The sequence below is a fragment of the Homo sapiens genome, chromosome 12, assembly GCF_000001405.40.
Source record: "Homo sapiens chromosome 12, GRCh38.p14 Primary Assembly".
Classification (NCBI taxonomy): domain Eukaryota; kingdom Metazoa; phylum Chordata; class Mammalia; order Primates; family Hominidae; genus Homo; species Homo sapiens.
The window spans coordinates 94,163,298-94,189,006 of record NC_000012.12 but is presented as its reverse complement, the minus strand read 5'-3'; the positions used below and the strand labels follow the sequence as shown (position 1 = coordinate 94,189,006).

The following is a 25,709-nucleotide window of genomic DNA, read 5'->3' as shown; positions in this document are numbered from 1 at the left end:
CCTAGTCTTCCAGTCCACTCCTTCTCTCTCTTTTCTCCTCAAACCTCCAGTGCTTCCTCCCTCACCTCATTCTCAATGGCCGTAGGCCACTGAAAATAATGTGAGCAATAGGAGAAGACACCACACAGGCCTCTGCCACCTCCCCATGCTTGGGCCCAGAGTCCCTACCTTCCCTCCTACCACTGAGGGTGAGGGGCCAGTGCTCCTGTCTGAGGCTGGCCTCCCTACTGGCACACCAAGTCATATTTTCTTCCACCTGCTGAAAGACTGAACACTCCACAACCCTTCTCTCTCCTGTATCATCCATTTCTCCTTCTCTTCTGGAATTTTCCCAACAGTGCAGACATGCACTGTTATTTCATGCATCTTAAAAAGACAAAACTGGCTGGGCGTGGTGGCTCACGGCTGTAATCCTGGCAATTTGGGAGGCTGAGGCAGGCGGATCACCTGAGGTCAGGAGTTCGAGACCAACCTGGCCAACATGGTGAAACCCCATCTCTACTAAAAATACAAAAATTAGTCGGGCATGGTGGCACGTACCGGTAATCCCAGCTACTCGGGAGGCTGCGGCAGGAGAATCGGCTTGAACCTGGGAGGTGGAGGTTGCAGTGAGCCAAGATCATGCCACTGCACCCCAGCCTGGGAGACAAAGCCAGAGTCCATCTCAAAAAAAAAAAAAAAAAGGACAAAAAGACAAAATTCTTTGGACTCTACTTTCGCTTTCAGTGTCTGCTTCATTTTTTTCAGCTGCCTTTCTCAGTAAAGCTTCTCTAAGCTGTCCCTTCTTAAGGTCTTATTTTCCCATTGTCTCTTGTGGATTTAGCGCCACTCCTAACCATGGCATTCCCAGCAGTCACCCATTGTCACCTGCTAAGTGCAAAGGATCCATTCTTTTCTTCTCCTGCTTGACCTCTCAGCTGAATCTGACCCAGTGGATCACTTCCTCCTCCTTTCTTTCCTTGGCTTCCAGGAGACCACCCTCTCCAGTTTTTCCTCTTCCCCTTCTGACTGCTCCCTCCTTATTTCTTGTTCTGTTTCCCCTCCTTCTCCCCAACCCCTAAACACCACAGCCCCTCAAGGCCCAGTTCTCAAACTTCTCTCCTCAATCAACACTCACTCCTTCGTCTGGTCTTAAGGCTTCTCTAAGTACCATCTAAAATACTACCAACTCCCAAATTCATATCACCAGCTTGGAGATCTCCCAAAAGCTCCAGAGCTGAGCTTGTTAATACGTTAGCCGCTAGCTCCATGTGGCTATTTAATCACCACCATCATCGCCACCATTATCGAATTGACTCCTGTACACAGCTCTACAAATACAGACAGGGATGCTACATAAATGAATGGATCTAAAAGATTATGGCAAGACTGCTCACTGAGTGTGCAACAAACAAATCCCGTTCGTGATCAGTGAATTATTCATGAGCATTTTTCTGGCCCTTGCTTCGTTTGTCTGCCAGTGACTCTGACGGAAACAGCCCGGTAAGGAAGCGTAGCAAATGGCAGGGGCAATTATTCCTCTTGCTGCAGCTCGGATTGCGCCTTCCCCCGTGAACTCTTAATTAATTCCATCCCCGTATTTTTGATTTGTTTCCTAAACCTCTTGCTTGTATTGCATTTCCCCCTCTCCCTTCATTTCTCTTGGCTGTCTCCCCCTTCAGTCACCAATTCTCTTCCTCCTGCTCTTTTCTAAACCCAAACTGTCCCCTGGTTCAGCCTTCAGCATCTCTCCACCTGCTCTGCTCTTTCTTATCCTTTTCACCTTTAAAAACTGAAAGCACCAAACTGACAGACACTGTTATGGGTTTTTTTTTCTCTCTCTCTCTCTCTCTTTCCTGCCTGAGCTGCAGCGAAGGCTCTCTCCTCCTTTGCTTCTCCAGCAAGAGCCCCAGTACTGGGTTGCCATGGCGACGGCGAATCCAACCAGGCCGGGCCCAGCGACGCTAGGAAACTGCCATGGCGGGGAAGCCGCTCCGAGTCGCCCCTGAGCCTAGATGGGTCGTGAGCATCGTCATTCCAGACCAGGCTGGGCAGATTCTGCCCGGAGACTGAGATTGTACATCAGGCCCACAGCTGCGCGGCGCATTAGGAGACGGCGCCATCAATAACGAGGCTTCTGCGGAGCGAACAGAATACATGACATACATGATGGGGATTCAGCTGAAAAATTTTCAGACATCTCTATTCTTTTATCTTCTCGGAGGGGGGGCCCTTTTGCCTCTCTCTTGAGTCTTGGCGAACTCTGGAGAAAGTAAAAGCCAAACCTGCCTGCTCTCTCCCGTTCTCCTGAAGGCTGCACACCTGCCCCTCCCGCCCCGAGACTGGGGAGCTCCCGGGTCCAGTGATTGCATAGCACGGACGCCGCTGGAAACACCTTCGAGAATTCATTAGGATTGCACAACAAGATTTTAGTCGAGGAAGAGATCAGTTCCCTCAGGTCACTGGAATGGATCGTTAAAGTAGGGCAACAAGTGTTCTGCCGCATGACACTTTTTCAAAAATGCGAGTTGGTGAGAAAGAATTCAGGAGATACCTTTGTAGCGAATGGCACCAACCGCAGTGAGGGTCTGTGGCTGTTAAACACTCCGAACAGGATTTATGTTTATTGCAGTTTGCAACACGAATTCTCCTCACCTAAAAGGAAAGAGGACAATGGTTCAGATGGAATTATAAGCAACAGCAGGAAAACTACAACACCTTATCTAATGAAGGGCCAAAAAGAGCCTATTTATCAACTTGAACTCAACACCTCCATACTGGCACTGGGCAGTGGGTCTCAAGATCTAGGACATGAAGTCATTGTATCACAATCACCTGGGGAGCTTTTGACAGTGCGTATTCCCAGGCCTCTGCCGCAGAGACTCTCGCTAAGTCTGGGGGCAGAGCCTAGGAAGTTGTATTTTTTCATTTAAAAGATTTTTTTCTTAAAGACACAGGGTCTCACTACGTTGCCCAGGCTGGTTTTGAACTTCTGGGCTCAAAGCACTCCTCCCAAAAGTGCTGAGGTTGCAGGCGTGCACCACTGTGTCTGGCCAGGAATCTGTATTTTAAGAGCTCTCTCTCAGGTGAGTCTGACACCCAGTTGGGTTTCCGATCTGCTAATGATGATTTCCATACGGATCATGGAATCAGGTTGCCTGGTTTTCATACAGAGACAGTCCATATGTGGCCAATGGCATTTTGGAAATGAGTATTAGGGAATAACAAAGGCTCTGCCCCAGGAGTGTCAGCAGGAGTTTGGCACTCAATGTGGAAACGAGGAGGACCAGGGACGAGGCCCTCCCACACCCCTGCCAGGGGCAGCGCCGTCACCTCAGCTCCTGGCTTGTTTTGCTCACACCCCTCCAGTGGAGTTGAAAATAAAAGAAACAGGGGGAGTAGTCAAATCATTTCCCCATCCCTAGAGCTGCCTCTTGCCATTGTCAGGAAACAGCAGCCCACAAAGAGGGCACCCCAGCTGGGCAGACCCAGACATCTAGGCAGCCAGTCAGAGCCTGCAAGTAGGGCGGTGAGAGGCAGGGAGTAACTGAGCATCACACAGAGCACTTTCTGCAGGCAAAACCACACAGCAGGTAGTAAGGGAACTTGTGGAACTCATTATGCCAGGAAGTTGTACATGCTAGATAGTATAAATAACTTCTTTAGCAGGTTAGAGAAATAAGGAGTTCTAGAAGGGACCTCTCTATTTTTCTCTATTTTGTGAGGAAAACAAGGACTATCCTGAGCTGGATCCTTCAGTTCCAAGTTGACTTCATGGAGGATAACCACGCCCTTCCATTTCATAGTCCCCAACACTGCTGACAGATGCAGCTGGCAGCCCGTGATCCTGAGCCGGAATTAACCAGAATAGAGGTATTTCCTTGTAGTTCACAAATGCCTCTGTAACACTGATGGATTTTAATAAGTGTCATGCAATCTCTCTAACCTTGTTTCCTCATCTGTAAAATGGATCACGACTTCATGGGGTTATTATGAACTATTGTCTGACAGGTACTAAATGTTCAATAAGTATTGGTTACTGCTATTATGCAAGAAAAGGGCTCCATGATCCAGCAAACATAAAACCTCAGACTGAAAAAGCAAAACGGGTTTCCTTAGCACAGGGCTTCTCGGAGCCTTTGACTATGCTGAGCCTCACAGTATTCCAGGAGGGGTATAGTAAGTAACAGCTGGTTCTGGGACCACTTTTGCTCAGAGCATTCTGTGGAATATGGGTCTCCAGAACATTCTCTGAGAACTATTACTCAGTCTATTTAAACACACAAATATAACTCTGTATAAGAGGGAGGACACTGGCTGGCCGTGGTGGCTCACACCTGTAATCCCAGCACTTTGGGAGGCTGAGGTGGACAGATCACTTCAGGCCTGGAGTTGGAGACCAGTCTGGCCAACTCTGTCTCTACTAAAAATACAAAATTTAGCTGGGCATAGTGGTGGGCGTCTGTAATCCCAGCTAGTCAGGAGGCTGAGGCAGGAGAATCTCTTGAACTCAGGAGGTGGAGGTTGCAGTGAGCCAAGATCACACCACTGCACTCCAGCCTGGGCGACAGTGAGACTCTGTTTCAAAAAAAAATGAGAGAGGGCCAGGCGAGGTGGCTCACGCCTATAATCCCAGCACTTTGGGAGGCTGAGGTGGGTGGATCACCTGAGGTCAGGAGTTTGAGACCAGCCTGACCAGTATGGTGAAACCCCGTCTCTATTAAAAAAAAAAAAATACAAAAATTAGCCGGGCATGGTAGCGTGTGACTGTAGTCCCAGCTACTAGGGAGGCTGAGACAGGAGAACTGCTTGAACCTGTGGAGGCGGAGGTTGCAGTGAGCTGAGATTGCGCCACTGCACTCCAGGCTGGGTGACAGAGCAAGACTCCATAAAAAAAAAAAAGAGAGAGAGAGAGAGGACACTAAAAATACTACATTAGACCTGCCCTCTAATTTAATAACAGACCGTAGTGACTATTCCATATCAATGCCTACATCTCCATATGATTATTTTTAGCGGCCCCGTATCATACCATTTTATGGATATCCCATAGCTTATTAGTTTGGCTGTTCTTATCTCCCCAAGAGCCTTCCTTGGACTTTGTCTCTTTAGGCGTTATATTTGCTCAGCCAGAGTTCAAACAGTAGGATCTCTAGCAGTAATCCTCAGTGAAGAATGCAGGGCTAACCAGCTTTGATGCCCAGTCAAAAACTCTTCCCAGGACTTCAGGCTTTGAATGATCAGAGGCTAGAACTTTTTGCTTTCTAGAAAGTGGGAACCCATCAACTACTGGTGGCTTTTCATAATGGTTCCCAGCCTGGGGTCCTGAGTTCTGGGGTTCCATTACTATCCATGAAGGAAGTAATGGGGGCTTATGAGCTATTTGCAATATTTCAGACAGCTGAATGGAAAAACACGCATGGATTAAGGAAGATATCAAGTTTCTTTGCTTTGGGTTGGAATTTTATCAGCTCCATGTGGGAACACAGTCAGTACTCTGACCGGCAGTTTTGAGACGCCCTTGATAAATAAACCCTGGGAATGGGAACTGTTACTTAATATGTGCAGTTTGTTGGGTAGACAAAAGTCTTTCAAAGATGGGATCCCCAGGGAAGAAACATAATACAAAGTGTCTGCATGGTGAAGCAAATTGGCATAGGAGATTCTATATGGTGAAGGACTGGTTTACAAGCTCTGTGGGAAGATGTGGCCATCTCAGTGTGGTCATTTTGATATAACTGACTTTTCAATGTGCAAAGAACAGTATCGTCTTTATAAGAATACCAGAAACTACAAATTGCTTGCACATCTTATCTGTGACTCAAAAAGCACATGTAGATTGCTGTCATTGCTATTTTCCTTAGAATGACTGAAAGGAAAAGAATGGAAAACCAGGGTTGGGCTGAGAGTATCTGTTACATCCATTATATAATTATGTAAGTCTCAATTATCTTCTTTGCACTTTCCATGTTCAAACGGTCATAGGTCAAAACCACTGAGCCAGGGAATGTCCAGTTTTCACAAATTTTGGATTTAATATCATTTATCAGAGGCTTTAGAATCAGGGTTGAGTTTTTGTCACAGCCCTGCAAAGGCTAACCTATAGATAGATAGATAGATGATAGATAGATAGATAGATAGATAGATAGATAGATAGATAGATAGATACAGATATTCTTGAACAAGTTATTTAACCTCTCCAAGTCTTAGATTCTTCACATAAAATAAATTAATAACACATTTATTTTTATTAAATTAATAACACATTTCTTTTTCTTCTTCTTTCTTTTTTTTTTCTTTTTTGAGACAGAGTCTCACTCTGTTGCCCAGGCTGGGGTGCAGTGGTGTGATGTCAGCTCACTGCAAACTCCACCTCCTGGTTTCAAGCGATTCTTGTTCTTCAGCCTCCCAAGTAGCTGGGATTACAGGCATGCACCACCACGCCCAGCTAATTGTTTGTATTTTTAGTGGAGATGGGGTTTCATCATGTTGCCCAGGCTGGTCTTGAACGTCTGAACTCAGGTGATCCCTGCCTTGGCTTCCCAGAGTGCTAGGATTATAGGTGTGAGCCACCATGCCCAGCCTTTTTTTTTTTTTTTTTTTTTTTTTTGAGACAGGGTCTTGCTCCATCACCCAGGCTAGGGTACAGTGGTTTGATCATGGCTCACTGCAGCCTTAAACTCCTGGCCTCAAGTGATCCTCCTGCCTCAGCCTCCCAAAGTGCTGGGGTGACAGGCATGAGCCACTATGCCCGGTCAGTAACACATTTCATTAACACTGTTTTCTACACTTGTGTGTATGTATATGTACACAATTCTATGCACCTAGACAGAGATCATGCAAAGAATAGTGACTAATGCATAGTAGAGACTCATTAACAATTAGTTTCTTTTCCCCTTCCCTTGGTGACAGCACTTGGTAAAGATGAAGAAAATATAAAAATATATTACTTTTATTTCAGTAAGCAGAAGCAAAAGAAAAGCCAAAACAGCAAGATAAATGAAGAGGGGGAGGGGGAGTACCATATATTTCCTGGTTCATGAATGTGTATGAGACTGTGGCCTGATATTAACCCCAAATTCCAAAGCCAGTCCCATTGGGTATATTCATAAATGCATCTAACCGTTCAGTGCCCACACAATAAATGTGTAAATTCAGTTACCTTGCTGATTATGCGCCCATTTCCAAGCACACCCTCCTCTGAAAAACTTGGCACTGGAAATATAGCCAATAATAAAATTGTCTAAATAGATAATATTTCTTGCTTACTTACTGACAGTCAGTAAGGTTTTTAATTCCGTGCCTGTGAACCACTGCGGGTCTCCTCAAAGCCTGGGGCACTGCTTAAACTCTGTAGTTCAAAGTAAAAGCTTTGCTACTAGATAATGACATCAATTAAACCATTTTTATTCATAAATCAGAAGCAATAACTAGTATTTCTACCTACCTCTTTCCCAGCTGTTAGATAAATGTAGATATTCTTCACAGGATCAGGAACGAGTTTGTAGAAAACAGGTGTCTCTTCTTTAATTTCATAGATAACCTCTGGACAATTTGAAGTCAAATTCTCACCAAGAATAACCTATTTTTTTTTTTCAAAAAGAGAAACATGATTTCTATTTAATACTTTTTTTTTTTTTTGAGACGGAATCTCGCTCTGTCGCCAGGCTGGAATGCATTGGCATGATCTTGGCTCACTGCAACCTCCGCCTCCCAGGTTCAAGCAATTCCACTGCCTCAGCCTCCCAAGTAGCTGGGACTATAGATGCACCACACCCAGCTAATTTTTTTTAGTAGAGATGGGGTTTCACTACGTTGGCCAGGATGGTTTTGATCTCCTGACCTCGTGATCCACCCGCCTCAGCCTCCCAAAGTGCTGGGGTAACAGGTGTGAGCCACCACTTCCGGCCTCTATTCAACACTTTGAATAGCAGGGTGGCAAAAATTGTAGCTTAATCATAAAGCTACATCCTTTTTCACTCACTACAAATACTGCCTAAGGTACCATGCTCCTTAATCATCCTCCCACATCTCAGTCCTCAACAAGGCTGGTAATAACAAGCATAATATTTCTTCTTTTGTAAAGGCAAAGTTACCAAAAATGAACAAACAAAAAAAGCCGCTCTTCAGGGCTGGGGTAGTATCCTCATATGTGGAAGCTGGCTGACCACAATTTCTGACCATGTCTGGCCCTATAGGAAGCCACAAGTGACAGCTTCATTAGTGCTGTCTCAAGAGAGACTGGAAATTAAAGGAAGTAGCTCCCACATGTATTTGCACAGGATACTCTGATCATCATACAGTTAGAAGTGACCCAGATTAACTTGGCAGATACAGACAAGTAGGTTTGTGTTCACATATAAAATATACGCAAGTGTGACTCAGTACTCAGTGGTTTTGAAATTGGACACACCTGAGCTTCATCCATCTTCAGTCAACAAACATCTACCCAACACCCATTATGTACCCAGCACTGTTCTGGGTGTTTGAAAAATGGCAGTGAACAAAATGGGGAAGGGAGAGCTCCTGACCTCATAGAACTTACATTCCTGTGTGTGTATGGTGGGGTGAGTAACAGCAGACTATTAATAAGAAAAAAGTAAATTATAAAATATAGTGGGGTCAGGGGTTAAGAGAATATATGTTCAGGGTAGGTGTCACTGAAAAGGTGATATTTATTTAGACTTGCAGGAGATGAGTTATTTTCATACTTGAATGAAACATGTTCTTAAAAGCAGCCCTGTCAGTGCAAAGAAACTAAAATGGGAGGAGGCCAGGGTGGCTTCAGTGGAGAGAGGTAGAGGAGTGAACAGTAAGATAGTAAGATAACAGGGGAATGATAATCAAGGGTCTTGTGGGCCTGTGTAAACAGCCTGCCTTTTACTGTAGATGAGAGAGAGGAGGCCATGGCAGGGCTTTGGGTCAAGGAGCAAGAGGAGATGGTAAGAAGGCAGGGTTTGAAGTGTGGGTATGAAGAGCCATCGGGAGACTCGAATCCTATAGTGCTAGAGAAGTATAATGGTGGCTTAAGCTTGAGTTTGCATCCTGCCTCCATCCTTTAAGTAGCTGCACTACTTTGAACTGGTAACTTAATCTCCCTAGGCCTCAATTTCCTCATCTCTAAAATGGGGCTAATAGTGCCTTCCTTATTACAGTTTTGTAAGGATCAAATAAGAACTATGAAAGATGCTTAGCACATAATCAATAGTCAATAGATAATAATCTGTTACTAGATTGCAAGCTCCTTTTGCGCAGGGACCATGTCATTTTTTTTTTTTTTTTTTTTTGAGATGGAGTCTTACTCAGTCGCCCAGACTGGAGTGCAGTGGTGCGATCTTGGCTCACTGCAACCTCTGCTTCCCAGGTTCAAGCCATTCTCTTGCCTCAGCCTCCTGAATAGCTGGGACTACAGACATGCGCCACCACACCCAGCTAATTTTTGTATTTTTAGTAGAGACGGGGTTTCACCATGTTGGCCAGGCTGGTCTTGAACTCCTGACCTGAGGTGATCCGCTCGCCTCTGCCTCCCAAAGTGGTGGGATTACAGGCGTGAGCCACCGTGCCTGGCCTGGGACCATGTCTTAATCACCTTTGTACCTAACCTTTAATCTTCTTTGTACCTAACACAATTTGTACCCACTACTTTGAAAAGTGAAGGTGTTCAACATTTTGTCAGTTTGAACACATCCAGATAGATTATCTGTATTCATATCTCTACCACTGTAGACATCAGCCACATTGGGCGCATGGTTTCAAAAGAAAAATTTGGCACCTGAGATTCTTTTTGGACAAAGTCTACTTCACACATCTACTAATCAATAATATGCCTGTTCCCACATATCCTGATGGCAGTTAGGGATTTGCTGTTTAGCCAAAGGCTTCTTATCAATTTTGCACAGAGCAACTTCCCGCATTCACTTCTCCTTTCCAGGACCTGGGCCCGAGTCTAGCTTTGCCCTGCGATCAGTGACTTCCTTCCATCATCTGCTTGGGCCAAGCCCAGGTGGATTTGGTGCAAATAGTGGCTCACTTGAAGCCCTTGGACTGCTCATCAAATTCAGCAGCAGCTTTGTAAAAGTCAATCTCACTAACCAAACATATGAAATATGACTTCTTAAAAGCTCTTTTTAAAACAGAAGCAGTTAGGTCCTAAGGGAGGTGGGAAAGGTGTGTGTCTCAAGTCATTTTAAAACGACTTTATAGCTGCACTATCAAATATGACAGCCGCTAGCCACATAATGGCTATTTAAATTTAATTAAAAATTTACATTTAATTAAAAACACTAGCAACATTTCAAGTGTTCACTAGCTACCTAAGGTGACTGGCTACCATACTGGAGAGTACAGATGTAGAACATTTCTATCACTACAGAAAGTTCTCTTGGCCAACACTGCTCTACAGAATCCTGTAAGTGGAGCCAAGGGACAGGCACTGACCAAGGTATGGGCTTGCCAGGATTTGCCGTCTCTAATTCATTAGCTGTATTAATCAGCTCAGATTCAGTTGATCTGGTTCTGGAAAGCAGTTGTATAGGGAAAGAGAAACAGGAAGCCAGTTTTTGTTTTTTTTAAACAAACACTGATAGAAATATTATCAAGGAAGGGTCAAGAGAAGAGAAGCTGCTGCCCTGGTATCTCTTCAGGAATTCATCATGGCAAAAGCATCATTGGGCAGCACCACCCATAATGTATTCTTGCCAATAAAGTTGAAACTGAATCTAGTCAAGTCTTTAGCACTAACTTCCATTTAGCACTAGGAAGCAGGAGTAGAGGAACAAGCTAAATGACACCACAAGGAAGCAAAAAGCCAAACACATGATAAGAGACATTCTATAGGGCAAAATACCTGGTTTTTTCAGTTAAGTCAGTGGCAGGGAATAAAAGTAAGGGAGGAGACTGCTCTAGATAATAGAACAACCAAATTTGGTTTGAGGACTTTGTGCAGATACCAATTTGAACAAAACCATTTAAAATACCTTTTTGAATCAATTGGGAATACTTAGTTACACAGACTGGATAGTAAGTGATCCTAAAGAATGACTGATAATTTTATTAGCTGTGATCATGGCATTATGGTTACTATTATTTAAGAAAACAACTGTAGGTTTTGAGAGATGCATAACGAAATATGTTGAGGTGAAACGACATCATGTCTGTGGGGTTTGCTTTAAAATAACAAAGTAAAAACATACTTTACACCACCACTCATCCATTTTACGTAAATTAGGAGCTGCACTGCAGTTTTTATTGGGGGCTTATTTTATTTACTCTTGGAGCATCATTGATACAGATGGTCAGCAAGATCTAGTTGGGTGCAACATTGATTTATTTACTTGGTACCTTGGAAATGAAGCATCAATATTCTCTCTAGAACTCTGAATTGTGGCAAGGAAGCTTTTCCTTTCCTTTCTCCTCTCCTCTCCTCTCCCTTCCTTTCTCCTTTCCTTTCCTTCCTTACCTCTCTCTCTTTCTTTTTCTTTCTCTCTCTTTCTTTCTTTCTCCCTCTCTCTCTCTTTCTTTCTTTGTTTTTCTTTCTTTCTTTTTTTACAAGTTATCAAAAAGTTCTGTGGCCCAGGATTTACCAATCAGTTTCCTGAAAAAGCTACTTAGCGTGGCTTGCACTGAAGCTTGTCCTGATAGCCATAGATGCTGGGTTTAAATTAGTATGTTTCCTCAGTGGTGGAAGCCAGACCTCTCTAGAAGGTAATTTGGCATCATCTATCAAAATTACAAAGGACATACCCTTGGACCCTGCAGCCCCTCATATATATATACATATATATATATATATATATATGTATATATATACACACACATATATATATACGTATATATATATACATATATATACGTATATATATATATACATATATATATACACACACACACATATATATACACACACACACATATATACACACACACATATATATATACACATATATATATACACACACACACACACACACACACATATATATGAAATGACATATATTCATTGTAGCATTGTATGTTATAAAGAAAAGATTAAAACAACTTAAATCTCCAGCAATAGGGAACTGGTTAAGTAAACTATAGTACAAACAAGGAAATACTATTTAGCTATAAAAATAATTAGAAAGCTCTTTGTGTTATATTTAAAGTTATATGAAATATGTACATATATCTATAAATATAGACATATTTACATATACAGGTATTTTTACATATATAACATATATGTTTACTGTGTTTTATGTTTCAACAAAAGGGAGGAAGAATATCTTCACTCTTTTGCCTGTAGACAGATATAAACTATCTCTGGAAAGATACCCATGAAACTACTATCATTGGTTGCCTTGGAAGTCAAGACCAGGTGCCTTTCACGGAATATTTTCTTGGTTCTTTTGAGTTTTAAACAATATCATTGTATTACCTTAAAAATAAATATATAACATTTAAATTTAAAAATCCTTGAGGGTGAGTGAGTCAAATTGTTTTTCTTTTTGCTAGATTATGCAAACAATGCTCTCCATAATCCTGAGGACAGGACAAGAGGAAGTTTTAGTTTTCACCACAAAGGTCCCAAATGTGCTACACAGAGGGGTGAGGGATTTCTGCTTCCGTGGCCCCTGGAGTCTCATCTCTCTCAGATGACTAAAGGACAGGTCAGTGTTCATATCATCTCTCACCTAGCCCGAGCCCCAGCCCACAGGCACTAATGGAACACTTGGACTTTCTAATTGCAAACTTCAGGAGAATATCAACACACAGACAAAAGCCAGCAAGACTGGAGCAAGGGAAACGTTCCTTCCTCAGCTCAGTTTAGGTGGGCAGCCTCGGAAAAAGAACATGATCAGTGAAGCAATGCAGGAAGTAACAATGAGTCACAAAAACCCAAAACGGGTTGAATTTTGCATAAGAGAAATCTCATCCAATTCACACACACAATCCTTGGGCACGATGTGGATTTTTATCTTCCAGGATACGACCTTAATATAGATCTAATCTGAAGTCAATCTGAACCTTCTCCATGTGTATGCTTGTATACTCCTTTATCTTTCAAGTCTCCAACATCACCTCCTCTGAGAAGCCTTCCCTGATCACTTCTCCGCTGAACACCTCTGTCACTCTCTACCCATCACTGTATTTTCTTCATAGCACTATCTGAAGTGTCTTTATCGCTGATTAATCCATTTACTTGTTTTCTGTCTTTTTCTTCCCACCAGCAGAGCAAGGGCATTGTCTGTTTTGTTCACCTTTGTATATTCAGCACCCAGAACAGTGCCTGGCACATACAAGGTGCCCAGTAGATATTTATTAAATGAAAAACGACGCTATTAGCATTCAAGATTTTATAGGGCTCTTCAGCTTTTTCCAGCTGAAGCCTGTGTAGAAAACAAATTTTCTCTGATGGAGAATTTCAGTTCGTGTCAACATATTGTTTCTGTTGATGTCTTCCTGAAGCCTCATGGTAGACTATTAACGAGCCTTGGGATTTTTGTTGCATATAAAACTCCCAACTACACTGCTGAAATTAACTGAGTGGAGATTTCAACACCATACAATTGTAAGACAGGTTCAAGATCACCCACAGGAAGGATATCATGGTGAGGAAAATGAGGGGGGAGAAAAATTAAACAAAAAACTATTTTTTTTTCTTTACGATTACCATGAGATGGAAAAGCCACGGGTGTTCAAAAAGCTATAATATTTTATGCCAAATTTAATTTCCTATGCCTCACTCTGTGGGGCTAACCAGTTGAAGGGCAAACAAGCCAACCCTTTCATTTATTATTATTTTTTTCCATAAGCAGTTTCTGAGAAATGCTGGGAAGGAGACTTAAACCACACATACACACACACAAGCTCACACACACATATGCACGTGCATGCCTGCATACATATACACACACGTGCATGCCTGTGCATGCGTGCACACACACACACATGCACACACAGGAGAAAGCAAGGTAAGTATTTAATGTGCCTCAGTAGTTAGGAGTAACAAAGATGAAATATAAAGATCAAGGCAAATTTCTCTTTTGTTTCCAATCTACTTATTGCAGTGTAGGTAGTAAGAGAAGCATACAGTCTGAACCACAGGTTCTAGATTTGTGGATTATATGGGACTAAAAGTTTCAAACTGGGGAGTCCCTGCAAACTCATAAATTGCAATTAATGAGGTGGGGAGAACTTGAAGCAGGCTTCACATGACATCCTAAACAGCCAACCAATGAACCCACTTCCAAGTTTTGACACTTCCTCCTGTTTTAACTTTTTGGTCTGTTAGCTCAGTCATCCCCACCACCACCACCACTTCCGGTCCCAGGTCCTGTTCTAGGTTCCCCAAGTTCTCCTATTCCTTATTTGAACATCTTCTGGGTATATAGTACAGCTTGCCTTTACAAAAGATTTTTTTCTCTGACATTCATTCAAAAACTTCAATAACCAGAGTCAAGGCAGACTCTTTAGGCAGTACAGAGTTTTTGCTTCTGTTTGAATTCAGACAGAACTTTTTGGAACCGGTTTAATTTTGCTGTGATTTGAATAAACGAAATCCCTGAGTGGCGCCGTGTGCAGTGGCTCATGCCTGTAATCCCAGCTCTTTGGAAGGCCGAGGTGGGAGGATCTCTTGAGCCTAGGAGTTTGAGACCAGCCTGGGCAACATGGCAAAACCCTGTCCATACAAAAAAATTAGCCAGGTGTGGGGGCACAGGTCTGTAGTCCCAGCTACTCAAGAGGCTGAGGTGGGAGGATCGCTTAAGCCTGGGAGACAGAGGTTGTAGTGAGCCGAGACTGCACCACTGCACTCCAGCCTGGGCAACAGAGCCAGACCTTGGCTCAAAAAAGAAAAAAAAATAAACAAAAGAAAGCCATTAAGTGGGAGTAGAGGGCCACATAGGTAACCAGTCTGAGCCCAAGCACATAGGAAATACCTCAAGACTGGATATGGGGACAGGATAGAGCTATGTGATATAGCTTCCTGTATCCTGAACCCTACTGCAGTCCCTGGGAGGTCGGGGAGACACTAGTCTTTACTGCTGACACCATTCAAAACAGCAACTTGAATACAGAATTCCTACCTTTCCTACAAAGGAGCCCACTGGGGTAAAGCTGGGGCCCCAAAGGAGATTCAGAGACCCCCGTGGACTACGCGCAGCTCAGAGAGGAGCGGGCTCTGCACTCAGCTGGGTTGCCAGGAAGCCATCCCCAAATAGGAACAAACTAAACCACAGGGTTCTCGGCCCCTTCTTATGAAACCTCAAACATCTGCATCTTGGTATCAACCCTTATACCCCAGTATTAGAAAGAAATATAACAAAAACCAGCTCTCAAACTCTACTAAGCTCTGTAAGAGTTAATGCAGTTTAGTTGGGGGATAGAAGCTCGGGCTCTGGGACAGATTATTTTGGTTCAGAGCACCTTGAAAAAGATACCTAACCTCTCGAGGCCTCAGGTTTTTTCATTTATAAAGTGGGGATGGTGAGAGTATTGACTGGTAAGGATTAAACCAGTTAACCCGTGCAGATGCTGGTTCTAATGCCCAGCACACAGGAAGAGCTCAGAAATGTTAGCGATTATTCTTCCTTGCCCATTGCCTTCTTATCTTTTATGCTTACACGAAGGTTAATGGGCATGCATAAAGTTACAAATTTCAAATTTCATGCATATTCTGTTATTACTTACTTTACCACCTGGAAAAGCTCAAAATATGCAATTCTGCCTTTGAAATAAGGACAATTTTCTATGGGCAACAGAGTCAGCTCAAAGGAATCCAAACCACATGATAGGCTGTACTATAATCTGGAGAAAGACTCGGTGTGTGTTTACAGAAATGCATACATTGTGCAACACGTGCAGTGTGAATTCCCCAAAGCTGAGTTCAGTGTGACCATACTTTTCAGCTGATCTCAGTGGAGATGCTGACGACTGAAAAAAACCCGGCATGCAATCATGTTCCGAAAAGAAGCAGGATGGGGAAATAACTGCGGGGGTGACTAGACATAACTCACCTCACGACCATGGGACGGTACACCGATAAAATAAAAGAGCAGATTAGATGCTCTCAAAGGACCCTTTGAGCTCTAAATTCCTTCTATTTCCCCAAAATCTTATAAAGGGACTTAGGTCTATAGGCAAGAGAAGGAGGACAGTAAAGGTACTGGCATACTGTAGCCTTTAGTTTCTTCACAGATTATCAGTGAAATCTTACCTTTGGAGGTAATGCCGTCTTCCTTGGAAAATGCATGTCTTTAAAGATACTTTAAAAGTGATCCAGTATCTTAGCTTAAGTTCAAAATAATGTACCCAAATAATAGAATATGATATAGTTATTTAAAAATACTTTTTACAAAGGGTTTGCAATAACATTTTAATGTAAGCATTTTCCCTCACTAACTGAAGAAAAGGATGCAAAACCTGACCTCAACTACATAAATAGAGAATCCAAAATGCTGACAGCAGTTGCTTCTGCATGACATGATTAGGGGTAATTTTTTCTTTGTTGTCCTCTCACCCCCGACGACTCTGCAACTTTTTACATGAGCATATATTACCTTTACAATAAGGAAAAATTATTTAAATAACATGAGGCTTAAAATTGCACCAAATTATATTAAAACTCACAGGATTTGCAGAGATTTAAGAAGTCAGGTTTTTACTGGTGGTGGTAAAAAACAGCAGTTGGGCCCCAATTGCTGTTTCCTGACTCTCATTCAACAAGGTATACACAACAGTGCCTGGCACATGTCAAAATGCCGTCAACTCATGATCACTCAGAAACTGATGAGTCAGGCTGTGGCTGATCCAAGCCCTCTTTCTTCTCCTCCTCCTACTGTCTGCGTTGGGTTGAGTTTTGTTTTTTGCCGCTCATTAGTTCCCCCACGCTGTGGCTTAAGGAGCCAAGCTTGTGTCTATCAGTGTTCATCCTTTCTAACAGTTCTGGTGACAAGCCTTGGCAAGGGAGAAGCTGAAAGCTTCTGAATAAAGGGATTTGAGGATTATCGGTAGTTTCCAAATCATCCACACGATCCTGGGTCTTCAGGATTCTGGGTAAATTCAGGGGCTACATCCAAGAATCTGTACACAGGATACAGGGGAGAGGCTTGGGCATTACTGAGCTGCCCTAGGGAGCCTGGTGGGGCAAGTCAGCTCAAGTTCATCCCTCACACCCTTCTCCTGAGTGAGAGAACTTCTCTCTTATTGGGGGCTTGGGGGGTGGGTGTTAATTCCCAAGAAGTTACCACGCCAGTGAGGTATTTCCTCAGTCAGATGGTCCGCCTTATTCTCAAGCTGGGACTCTTTCCTGAGCCTCTAGGAAGGCTGACTCACCCCAGGAGCATGTGTCCCCAGCCACGGCATGGAACCCTATCTGCATGTCTCCCATGTGCCCCCGGAATCCTCAGAGAGTAGTACCAATGTGTGCGGCAGAGGTTGCAAAGTCAGTGCAGCATAGGGGATCTTAGTGCAGTCTCTGAAGTCATTCCAGGTTCAAATCCCTGCTCTGCCCCTGTGTGACCTTGAACAACAATCATCCCATTTCTCTGGGCCTCGATTCCCTCATCTGTAAAATGGGAATAGTAGGCCTGCCCCATTGTGTCATGGAGAGGACTGAATTCGGTAGAAGATATAGAGTCCCTTGGCATCTAGGAAGCACTGTGTAAATGTTAGCAGTCACAAAACAAACAACAAAAAGCTGCCTTTGTTATTCAAACCTTGAAAAAAACAACGAGGCCACACAGGTGGCTTCTGAATGGGTACCCCATACAGATCCTGAGGAGAGCGAGACTTCGGTCGGCTGCGGCCTCCTCAGCAGCATGAAGCTGCAGCTTGGTCCACTCCCTGGTTGCCACAACATCGCTAAAAGCTGGCCAGCGGCATGCAGGCTGCTGGGTGAACACACAGGACAGGCAAAACCAGGCCATCCCATGGGGAACTATTTATAGACGAGTGTTCCTTCACCTCCAATTCACCATGTAGCGGTTTGGTTGGCTCGGCTTTGGGGAAACAGTGTTCTTGTCAAAACACTCATCAAAAACATCCCAAATCTGAAGAGATAATTGGTGAGGAGGCCCAGAAAGGCTTGATGGAAACTCCCGCCAGGCAAATGGGTCCAATAAGCCTGACCAGGTTGGTGGAGCTACAGACGTCACCCAGTGACTTGTGTAGAATGATGGATGGGTATTTACCCTTCCCCAGGAAATAAAGCTAACACAACAGGAAAGATGATCAATGTATATTTTAAAAGAATGTGTATACAAACAAACTCCCTCCCATATGTTACTGGGTTTCCTCCAAAGAAAACAGATTAAATCAAATGCCTACCAGGCACTCAGCACTGTATTAGGCTGTGGGAATTCATGGCCCCCTTCTCATGAGGCTTAAAATCAAGTTGGGAAGGCAAGACAGACACCAGTGAAAAGGTGAGGTCTCCAGGCAAGACATTTGGAATGAGCCACAAGAATGACATAGATCATGAGTATTTCAGGAAATGAGAGGAGAGCAAGGTCACTCCAGGCCTAGATGTCATCAAAGAGGAGGTGGGGTTTGAGCTGAGCCACAGCATAGACACATAAGGTGCCGTAAATAAGAGAAAAAAGAAAAAAGCATTTCAGGCTGGAGGTACAGTGTGAGCAAGTGTGGAAACAGGATCATATTTGGAAACAGGATCAAACAGGAGCAAGTAAATAGGTTTGGCTTGGGGATGGGGATGGTGGGGAATACGTGTGCAGAAGACAGAATTAGAGACTTTCAGAAGAGGAAAGCGTTTTTCTGGGTTGTCTAGTAGAACTGTATTTTACTGGTAAGGAAATGAAGGCTCAGAGAGGTTAAGCAATTCACCTAAAGTCACACAGCGAGTTATCTGTGGGAGATCAGTTGAGGGAAACAGATCTACCATTACTCGATTAAAAATCTGAGCTGAGAGTAAATGGATGGCTGCAGAGAAGCCAAGGAATCTCAGTCTTTAGTCATAGAAATGGTGCAGTTCCTGACCAGGAATGTTGTTGGAGACCACAGAAGGTCTTCAATAAATGCTTGCTGATGACATTGATAAGATGAACGCTAGATAACTTCAGACAAGTCATTTGGTATCTCTGATTTTATTTTCTCCTCCTCCCCTCTTCCCCTCTCCTAAGTGAATAAAAACCTGCACTTGACCGGGGTGTGTCCACACAGTGGAGAAGAAATAGTCCTCTGAGATAAAAGTCAAGAGGAGTCTCAAAGGATTTTAGATCTCTAACCTCTCTGTGGTGTGTGTGGGTACAAAGGGCAAAAAACAAACCCCCTCTGTGGGTGGTAAGTGGGCTGGAGGGAAAGAACACCTGTTTTTTCTTCTTTTCAAGCCCTATAATCTCTCATCTCTTTCAAGTTGTGAGAAATCAGGTGCTTTGTACATTTCCATGATAAAGGAGCTAGAACTAAAAGGTTACATGTCTTGGGAAGGTGAGTCAGGGTTGGGGTAGGGACCAGACCTCCATTTACCTCACCCAGCTGGCTTATGAGTAAGGAAGGAAAAACATCTTGGTGCACTCCTGGGCAGCAAGGTAGCTGATACTTCATTACATGGCTACGGGGCATTCTTACATACAGAATTCCAGATTTTCTTCCAGGCCATTTCTGGGGGTCTTTAAGGAGTTCATGAAGTTCTTGGTTTGGTCTCATGTATAACCCAGAAGCATTAAAAAAATGTTTTTTTAAAGTACAAAATATCACCATTAAAATAGACATTTGAAGAAGGCACAGAAAACCAACCTTAAGTAACTGGCCATCTCCAGTCCCCAAGAATAAAACAGTCCTGTTCATTACCACGGTGCCATAAACGGATGTCAGGTCGGAATGGATCAAGGTAGATGATGCGATTGGTTGGACTCTTTCAGGTTGATCCCCTTCTTTCTGAACATGCACACAAACGCACAAAAAAATAATAATAATTTTTAACAACAATAGTTCTCATTATACTGATGAAATGTCACTCATGCCCTCCTAGGCAGGATCTCACTTCTGGGCCCCACATATATTCTCTTAGACTAGATTCCCCGGGAGCAACCTTTCATTACCTTGCAAAATCACCATACCTGCCCAACCAAAGAAAACCCCTGTTTACTATGTATGAACAGGTATTGAGTGCCAAAGCGAGCTGGCCATCTATCTAACACCCCTCAGCTGATATAAGAAGCTGAATTCCACTTTAGTGCCAAGAGACAGCCCACCGCTGAATTGGGAGGCAGACTATCTTATACTTGGCTGTTTTCAAAATCCTGCCGCCAATTCATTTTAGCTAGGCGTTGGCTTCTGTGAGGTTAAACACAAACATTTCCCAAGATGTGACACGGACGATCCTGTTGGGTGTGATGGCAGAAAGGAGGGATTCTAGATTTACCAAAAGGGACCACAGGAAGCCTAAAGACAGGGTAGCTAGTTGAGGGGGTGAAAAGGTAAAGATACAGTTGTGGACGATGGGTAGGATCGAGCCACAGAGCTAAGGAGGAACCAAGTTGAAGGGCTGGCCCTGGTGCTGATGCTTTTAAAGGGGAAAACAAAAAGTCTAACTCCCAACCTGAAGGCATTTAAATTGTCTGAGGCTCTGAGCACATGTAATCACACGCTTGGTCCTGATCATTAAATAAAGCCCCTCTTTAAACCCAGAGCAGAGAGAGTGTCGACCAAAATGTCTTTTTCTTTTTTGTTTAAAAGGAATGAAGTGCTTCGTGCTGCATCCTGCCTTCAACGACAGGAAACTGAGTTTGTTACACAAATCTCTGGAAGATATGGAGCTAGGAAGAGCCGTTGCCGTCTGCAGCTACTGAACACAGTGTGATAGCACACTTTATCTGCCAGAGCTCAGTTCCCAACTGTACTAAGGTTTTTAAAGGCACATTGAAGTTGCAGCCAGCAAACTTCAGTAAGCAACACAGCAACTCCTAAAATCGCCCTATTTGGGGAGGGGGAGGCTAAGACTTATTAACTTCATTATATTATCGCCAACAGTGTTTATGTCTTTCAATTTATGTCTTATTAAATATTCATTATTTTTAAACCCACCAAGTTTCATTAACATCTAAACTAAATGGATTATGGGACTAAATTGATTTCTGAAGCCTTTAAAGTGCCATCTATATTTCTTTGTTGAGGTTGCGCTGCAAGGACAAGATAAGCTAGCCAGGATTTGTCCAATGCCCTGATCACTTTTCAAGGAAAAGATGTCATAACCTAAGAGAAGGCAATGTTTTTGCATAAAATATTCTATAGTGAACTCGGTTTAAGAAGATTTAGGGAAAGCTCATTAGAGTTTCTTTTTCCCTTGTTGAAAGATACTTTTCATGCAATATGGGAAGATGAGGAGCTGTCCTGTGAAAATTGAAGTTAAGGAAAAAAATTCTCTGTGGGTCTAAGGTTGGAACAATAGATCACTGTTTAGATAAGGAAGCCTCATGACTATGAGCAGAAAAAGAAAAGTCGGATGACCTTTAGGATTAAAAAAATAAGTAAAACCATGCCACACATCTTGCTTTAAAATAAATCCAGAATTGTTCAAACGTAAGATCAGCTGACCATGCCTGTTATTTTTATTAAATATTTGAACACTGCAGAGAGGCTAACGCGGAGAATAGGGCATCGTCTCTGCCTGGGTATCCAGAATGTTCTAATACCACTATCTCTGGCTAGAGGACTCCATTCCCTTCATCTCACAACACAGAAAAAGTAATGGATGTGGACTGTAGATTATCCACAAGGACCAGGTGGGACAGTGTACAGCCAGGTCTGGTATACAGTAGGTGCTTAATACTGTACCTGTTCTAATTCACCAAGAACCATGGGTAGCCTTTCCTGAGGTGGGATGAGAGATCCTGTTTGCAAAAGACTGGATCCAAGAAAACAGAGGCAGCTCAAAAGCTAAAACGGAACAAGGAAAAATCCGTCCCAAATTACCATCTCACCTTTCCCGGTGTCCTTCTCTGATTTCTGGCTGTCCTCAACAATTGTAGTTTTTTTTTCAAAGTAAGTCCGGGATCAGTAGTATAGGTAACTGAGGCGAGAGGATCGCTTGAGGCCAAGAGTTGGAGACCAGCCTGGGCAACATAGCAAGACCCCCATCTCTACAGAGATAAAAAATCAGCCAGATGTGTGGCACACACCTGTTGTCCCACCTATTTAGGAGGCTGAGACAGGTGGATCACTTGAGTCCAGGAGTTCCAGGTTACAGTGAGCTATGATTGAGCCACTGCACTCCAGCCTGGACAACAAAGTGAGACCTTACCTTAAAAAAAAAAAAGTAGCATGGGTAAGTGGTGCAGCCATTAAATCAACATTCTCAAACTTGAGAGAACACCCAGCACTCGTTTACATTTGAGCTTGGTTCTCACTCACTGTGTGACCTGGGCAATTAATTTAATGCTGTTAGGGGTTAGCTTTCTAGTATCTAATAAGGCTGATGTGTCTGATTGGCAGGGTGGTTACAAAAAAGAGATGATGATAGTAATAATAATAATAATAATAATAATAATAATAATAATAATAATACCAGCTAACATGTACTAATACTTACTGTGTGCTACCTGAAGTATTTTATCATCTTACCTAATGAAGGCAGTATAGCATAGAGAGCCAGCCAGACCACCTAAGTTTGACTCCTGGCTCTGTCACTTTCTAGCTAAGTAATTTTGTAAATGTGATTTAATCTCTCTGTGACTCAGTTTTCTCCTCCATATGATGGAAATGATGATAAGAGCACAGACTTTTTATGCCACAGACTTTTTATGAGGACTGGGTGAGTTTGTGCGTAAGCCTCAGTAAAGCTTAGAACAGGTTTGGCACATAGCAACACATAACCCATGCTTGCTATCATTACTTCATTTAAAAACACAAGTTACTGCCACACCCATGGCAGTTATTTTCTCTTTGCCAAGAAGAACCCTAATTTTGTTCAGACAGCAATGAACCCAAGCCTGGTGGAAGCTATCGTTGGGCCAAGCCAAATGGCAGCTCCATTCCCTATTGCCAGACACTGGCTTTCCTAACCCTTAGAGCTGAGGGTGGTCATGTGGCCCAGTCCTGGGCAGGGAGATGTGAGAAGTCCACTGGAAGGATTTCTGGGAATAAGTTTCCTCATTGATAACAGAAGCCTCTTGAGGAGAACCCGTTTGCCCTCTTCCCTCACTTCCTCCTCTGGAATACAGTTGTGTGATCTCATCATGCATAGACTCGTGGCAACCGTTCTGTTTCCATGAGATTCAAGATGAAGGATACAAAGCAACATGCTAAGATTGGTGCAGGGGAAAGAAAAGAGATTCTATGTTCCTGGAGACACCACTGAGCCGCAGACCTTCAACTTTTAAACATTTTACTAAGTTAACAATAGTTGTCATGGTTTAAGCCACTGTTGGTTGCGTTTTCTGCTACTTGGAACCAAAAGGAAGTCACTGTTTAAGAAATGACAATCACAACTTGTTGGAGCGGACACTAAACTGCAGTTCTTCCCCAGCTGCAGGGACCAGGACGTGGACAAATGCTTGTTCCTCTCACCAGCCTGGAGGACCCTGGCCACAGTCAGGATTTTGCAGCCTATTACAACAGCGAGCCTGGAAGAAAACAGGAGAGGAGGCTTGGACCTCATGAAAACTCTAGGGGCTGCTCTGGCTGAATGGAAATGGATTCTTTTGTGCTGGAAACACACAGAAATGGACAGGTCCCTGTGAATGGGAAAAGGAACCCTTTGAATGGCTTTCTTATGCTTATTGCAGCAAATGAAAACAAAAGAAAGACAGGCTCCGGAGAAACGTCCTCACAAAAGTGAGGTTAATACCCAGGGAGCCAGGCAGAAGAAGGGGGAAACAGTGCAGTCAGCCCCCTGTGTCCAGAGATTATTCTTTCTCTCTTTTTTTCGGGCCTATTTTCTATCTTGCCCTTCTCTCCCCTTAGGGCATAATCGCTAATGTTGCTCTCAGCCTATTCTGTCTAGTTTATTATGTGTAATTTATTTCTGAATCCCAGCCTCTGCTTGTTCGTCTGTGTGTAACAAGGTTAATGCCTTGTAATGATGCTTTTGCCAGTTCTGCCTTTCATGACAAAATCCGATCTTGATTTCGCTCTAAACCTTGTCTCCCCTTTGGGCTTTCTTGGTTCCCTCAGAGTTGTCACTCTGCTTCTCCTTCCTGCCGTGTCTAAGCATAACGTCACGCCTACACGTTTGCCGGCTCTAAGAGGGAAACTTTTCTCAGTTGGAGGAGAAAGCTACCTTGGCTCAAGCGATGTTTGGGCTGAAAGAGAGAAAGAGCTTTGGGCCTGATATAGCAAACTGGGACCAAAGCTCCTGAGGTGTGTGTGTGTTTGTGTGTGTACGTGTGTGTGTGTGTGTGTGTGTGTGTGTGTGTGTGTGTGTGTGTGCAGGGAGTCATGGGCATATCATGAGGAAAACAATTAGACTTCTTTGCAGCTGCTTCATATGATTTTTCATGGACAATAAATACTCTCCCATTGTGCCCTGCACAACTGCAGGGGGTGCCAGTCATGCATTCCAGGGTGTGAAAGGCACCCTCTAGAGCTGAGCCACAGCTTGGCCCTGCCCCTACCATGTGAAAGATGGCCCGGCTCATCGAGGCAGGGTGCTCACAGCCATGCTCCAGCTTTTGCGGCATCATCGGGAGGGAATGGGCACAAAACTGGGGCCTCCAATGTTGAGCACCAAGCAAGAGTCAAGTGTTTTACCCCCAAGGTGCTAAAAGGATTCCTGTATGTTGATTTTACCTTACCAGGTGGGAGGAAATACCAACTGGGTACCTATCAATTTCTTGTACATGACAAAATGCCTTTCTTGGGCAGTTAATTTTATATTCTGTTCCCTTTGGGATCCCTTTGTTTTGAAGCAGTTTCATCATTTTCTGTTACTTCCCAAGGGGCCCACTTGCCATTAGGAAACCCCTGAAGGAGCCCTGCACCCAAGTTCTGGCCCCTGCTCTGTGCCTTATAGACTGCTTGATTCCAGCAAGTTAAGTCTCCTGAACCTCAGTGACTGTATCTGTAAAATGGACCTAATAATACCACATGCCCTGCCTCTCAGTGTTGTTGTGAGGTCCAGATGAAATCATGTGTTTGAAAATAATTAGATTACTTTTATTCAGCTAAGGAGATGGAAAGGACAACTATTTGCCCAAGTCGGACAGTGATTTTATTAGCTAGGAAGGCTCGGGTTGCTTTTCTCCATTCTAGTGTATACAGTGTTGACCGGGATCTGACTAAGTTATGGCAGCTCTCTGATCGTCTGAAGGAAGAATTTACACTGGGGACTCAAATGACCAAAAGGAGAGGTTCAAAGTGTGCTTAGGGACACAGCTGGGCAGCCTCTAGACCAGAAAACATCACTGGTGTGCAGCACAGCCGTGGGAAGCATGCAAGGTGGTGAAGCTTGTATTTCACCTCCTTCTACCCTCTCCCCTCCCTCGACGGGCCCCAGTGTTCCCAGCCACCCAGGCCAACCCACCAGCAAAGTCCCACTCTCCAAGATTCATCCTTCCTTCTTCCCGCTTTATGTCCCTTCCCCACCCCCACAACCTCCTTCTCCTCCCTATGGCTAATTTCAGTCAATTACTTATAAAAAGACGACCTGACTCAAATAATTTACAAAAGTATATGAATGGCAGATAGCGTGAAACTGCATTTTCCTAGATTCTTTTTTTTATTATTATTATTTTGAGACAGAGTCTCACTGTGTCGCCCAGGCTGGAGTGTAGTGGCACGATCTCGGCTCACGG

At 43.5% G+C, this 25,709-nt stretch overlaps 1 protein-coding gene and 1 long non-coding RNA gene across 6 annotated transcripts in view, besides 4 other annotated features; one reads left to right on the top strand and one right to left on the bottom strand.

The window, feature by feature from the left end:
* PLXNC1 (plexin C1) overlaps positions 1-25,709 on the bottom strand; it is a 159,099-nt gene that overhangs the window by 118,669 nt on the left and 14,721 nt on the right. For all 5 annotated transcript variants that reach the window (NM_005761.3, XM_006719186.5, XM_047428050.1 and 2 more), the window contains exons 2-4: positions 19,714-19,854; positions 7,427-7,561; positions 2,534-2,634 (exon numbers count right to left, since the gene is read on the bottom strand). In NM_005761.3, coding sequence (NP_005752.1) covers positions 2,534-2,634; positions 7,427-7,561; positions 19,714-19,854 — 377 coding nt within the window. The remainder of the gene's footprint in view (positions 1-2,533; positions 2,635-7,426; positions 7,562-19,713; positions 19,855-25,709) is intronic.
* Positions 1,610-2,110: an enhancer, noted in NCBI's record as "H3K4me1 hESC enhancer chr12:94580673-94581173 (GRCh37/hg19 assembly coordinates)". NCBI's record gives its function as "activates a minimal SCP1, AML or CMV promoter by ChIP-STARR-seq in naive H9 embryonic stem cells {active_cell/tissue: H9 hESC(naive)}" and the evidence as "EXISTENCE:reporter gene assay evidence [ECO:0000049][PMID:30033119]".
* Positions 3,277-3,778: an enhancer, noted in NCBI's record as "H3K4me1 hESC enhancer chr12:94579005-94579506 (GRCh37/hg19 assembly coordinates)". NCBI's record gives its function as "activates a minimal SCP1, AML or CMV promoter by ChIP-STARR-seq in naive and primed H9 embryonic stem cells {active_cell/tissue: H9 hESC(naive and primed)}" and the evidence as "EXISTENCE:reporter gene assay evidence [ECO:0000049][PMID:30033119]".
* Positions 12,544-21,002, top strand: PLXNC1-AS1 (PLXNC1 antisense RNA 1). The gene is made up of 2 exons (XR_007063411.1): positions 12,544-12,626; positions 20,656-21,002. It is a non-coding gene; the product is annotated as a PLXNC1 antisense RNA 1 (long non-coding RNA).
* Positions 17,287-17,796: an enhancer, noted in NCBI's record as "H3K4me1 hESC enhancer chr12:94564987-94565496 (GRCh37/hg19 assembly coordinates)". NCBI's record gives its function as "activates a minimal SCP1, AML or CMV promoter by ChIP-STARR-seq in primed H9 embryonic stem cells {active_cell/tissue: H9 hESC(primed)}" and the evidence as "EXISTENCE:reporter gene assay evidence [ECO:0000049][PMID:30033119]".
* Positions 18,924-19,619: an enhancer, noted in NCBI's record as "OCT4-NANOG hESC enhancer chr12:94563164-94563859 (GRCh37/hg19 assembly coordinates)". NCBI's record gives its function as "activates a minimal SCP1, AML or CMV promoter by ChIP-STARR-seq in naive H9 embryonic stem cells {active_cell/tissue: H9 hESC(naive)}" and the evidence as "EXISTENCE:reporter gene assay evidence [ECO:0000049][PMID:30033119]".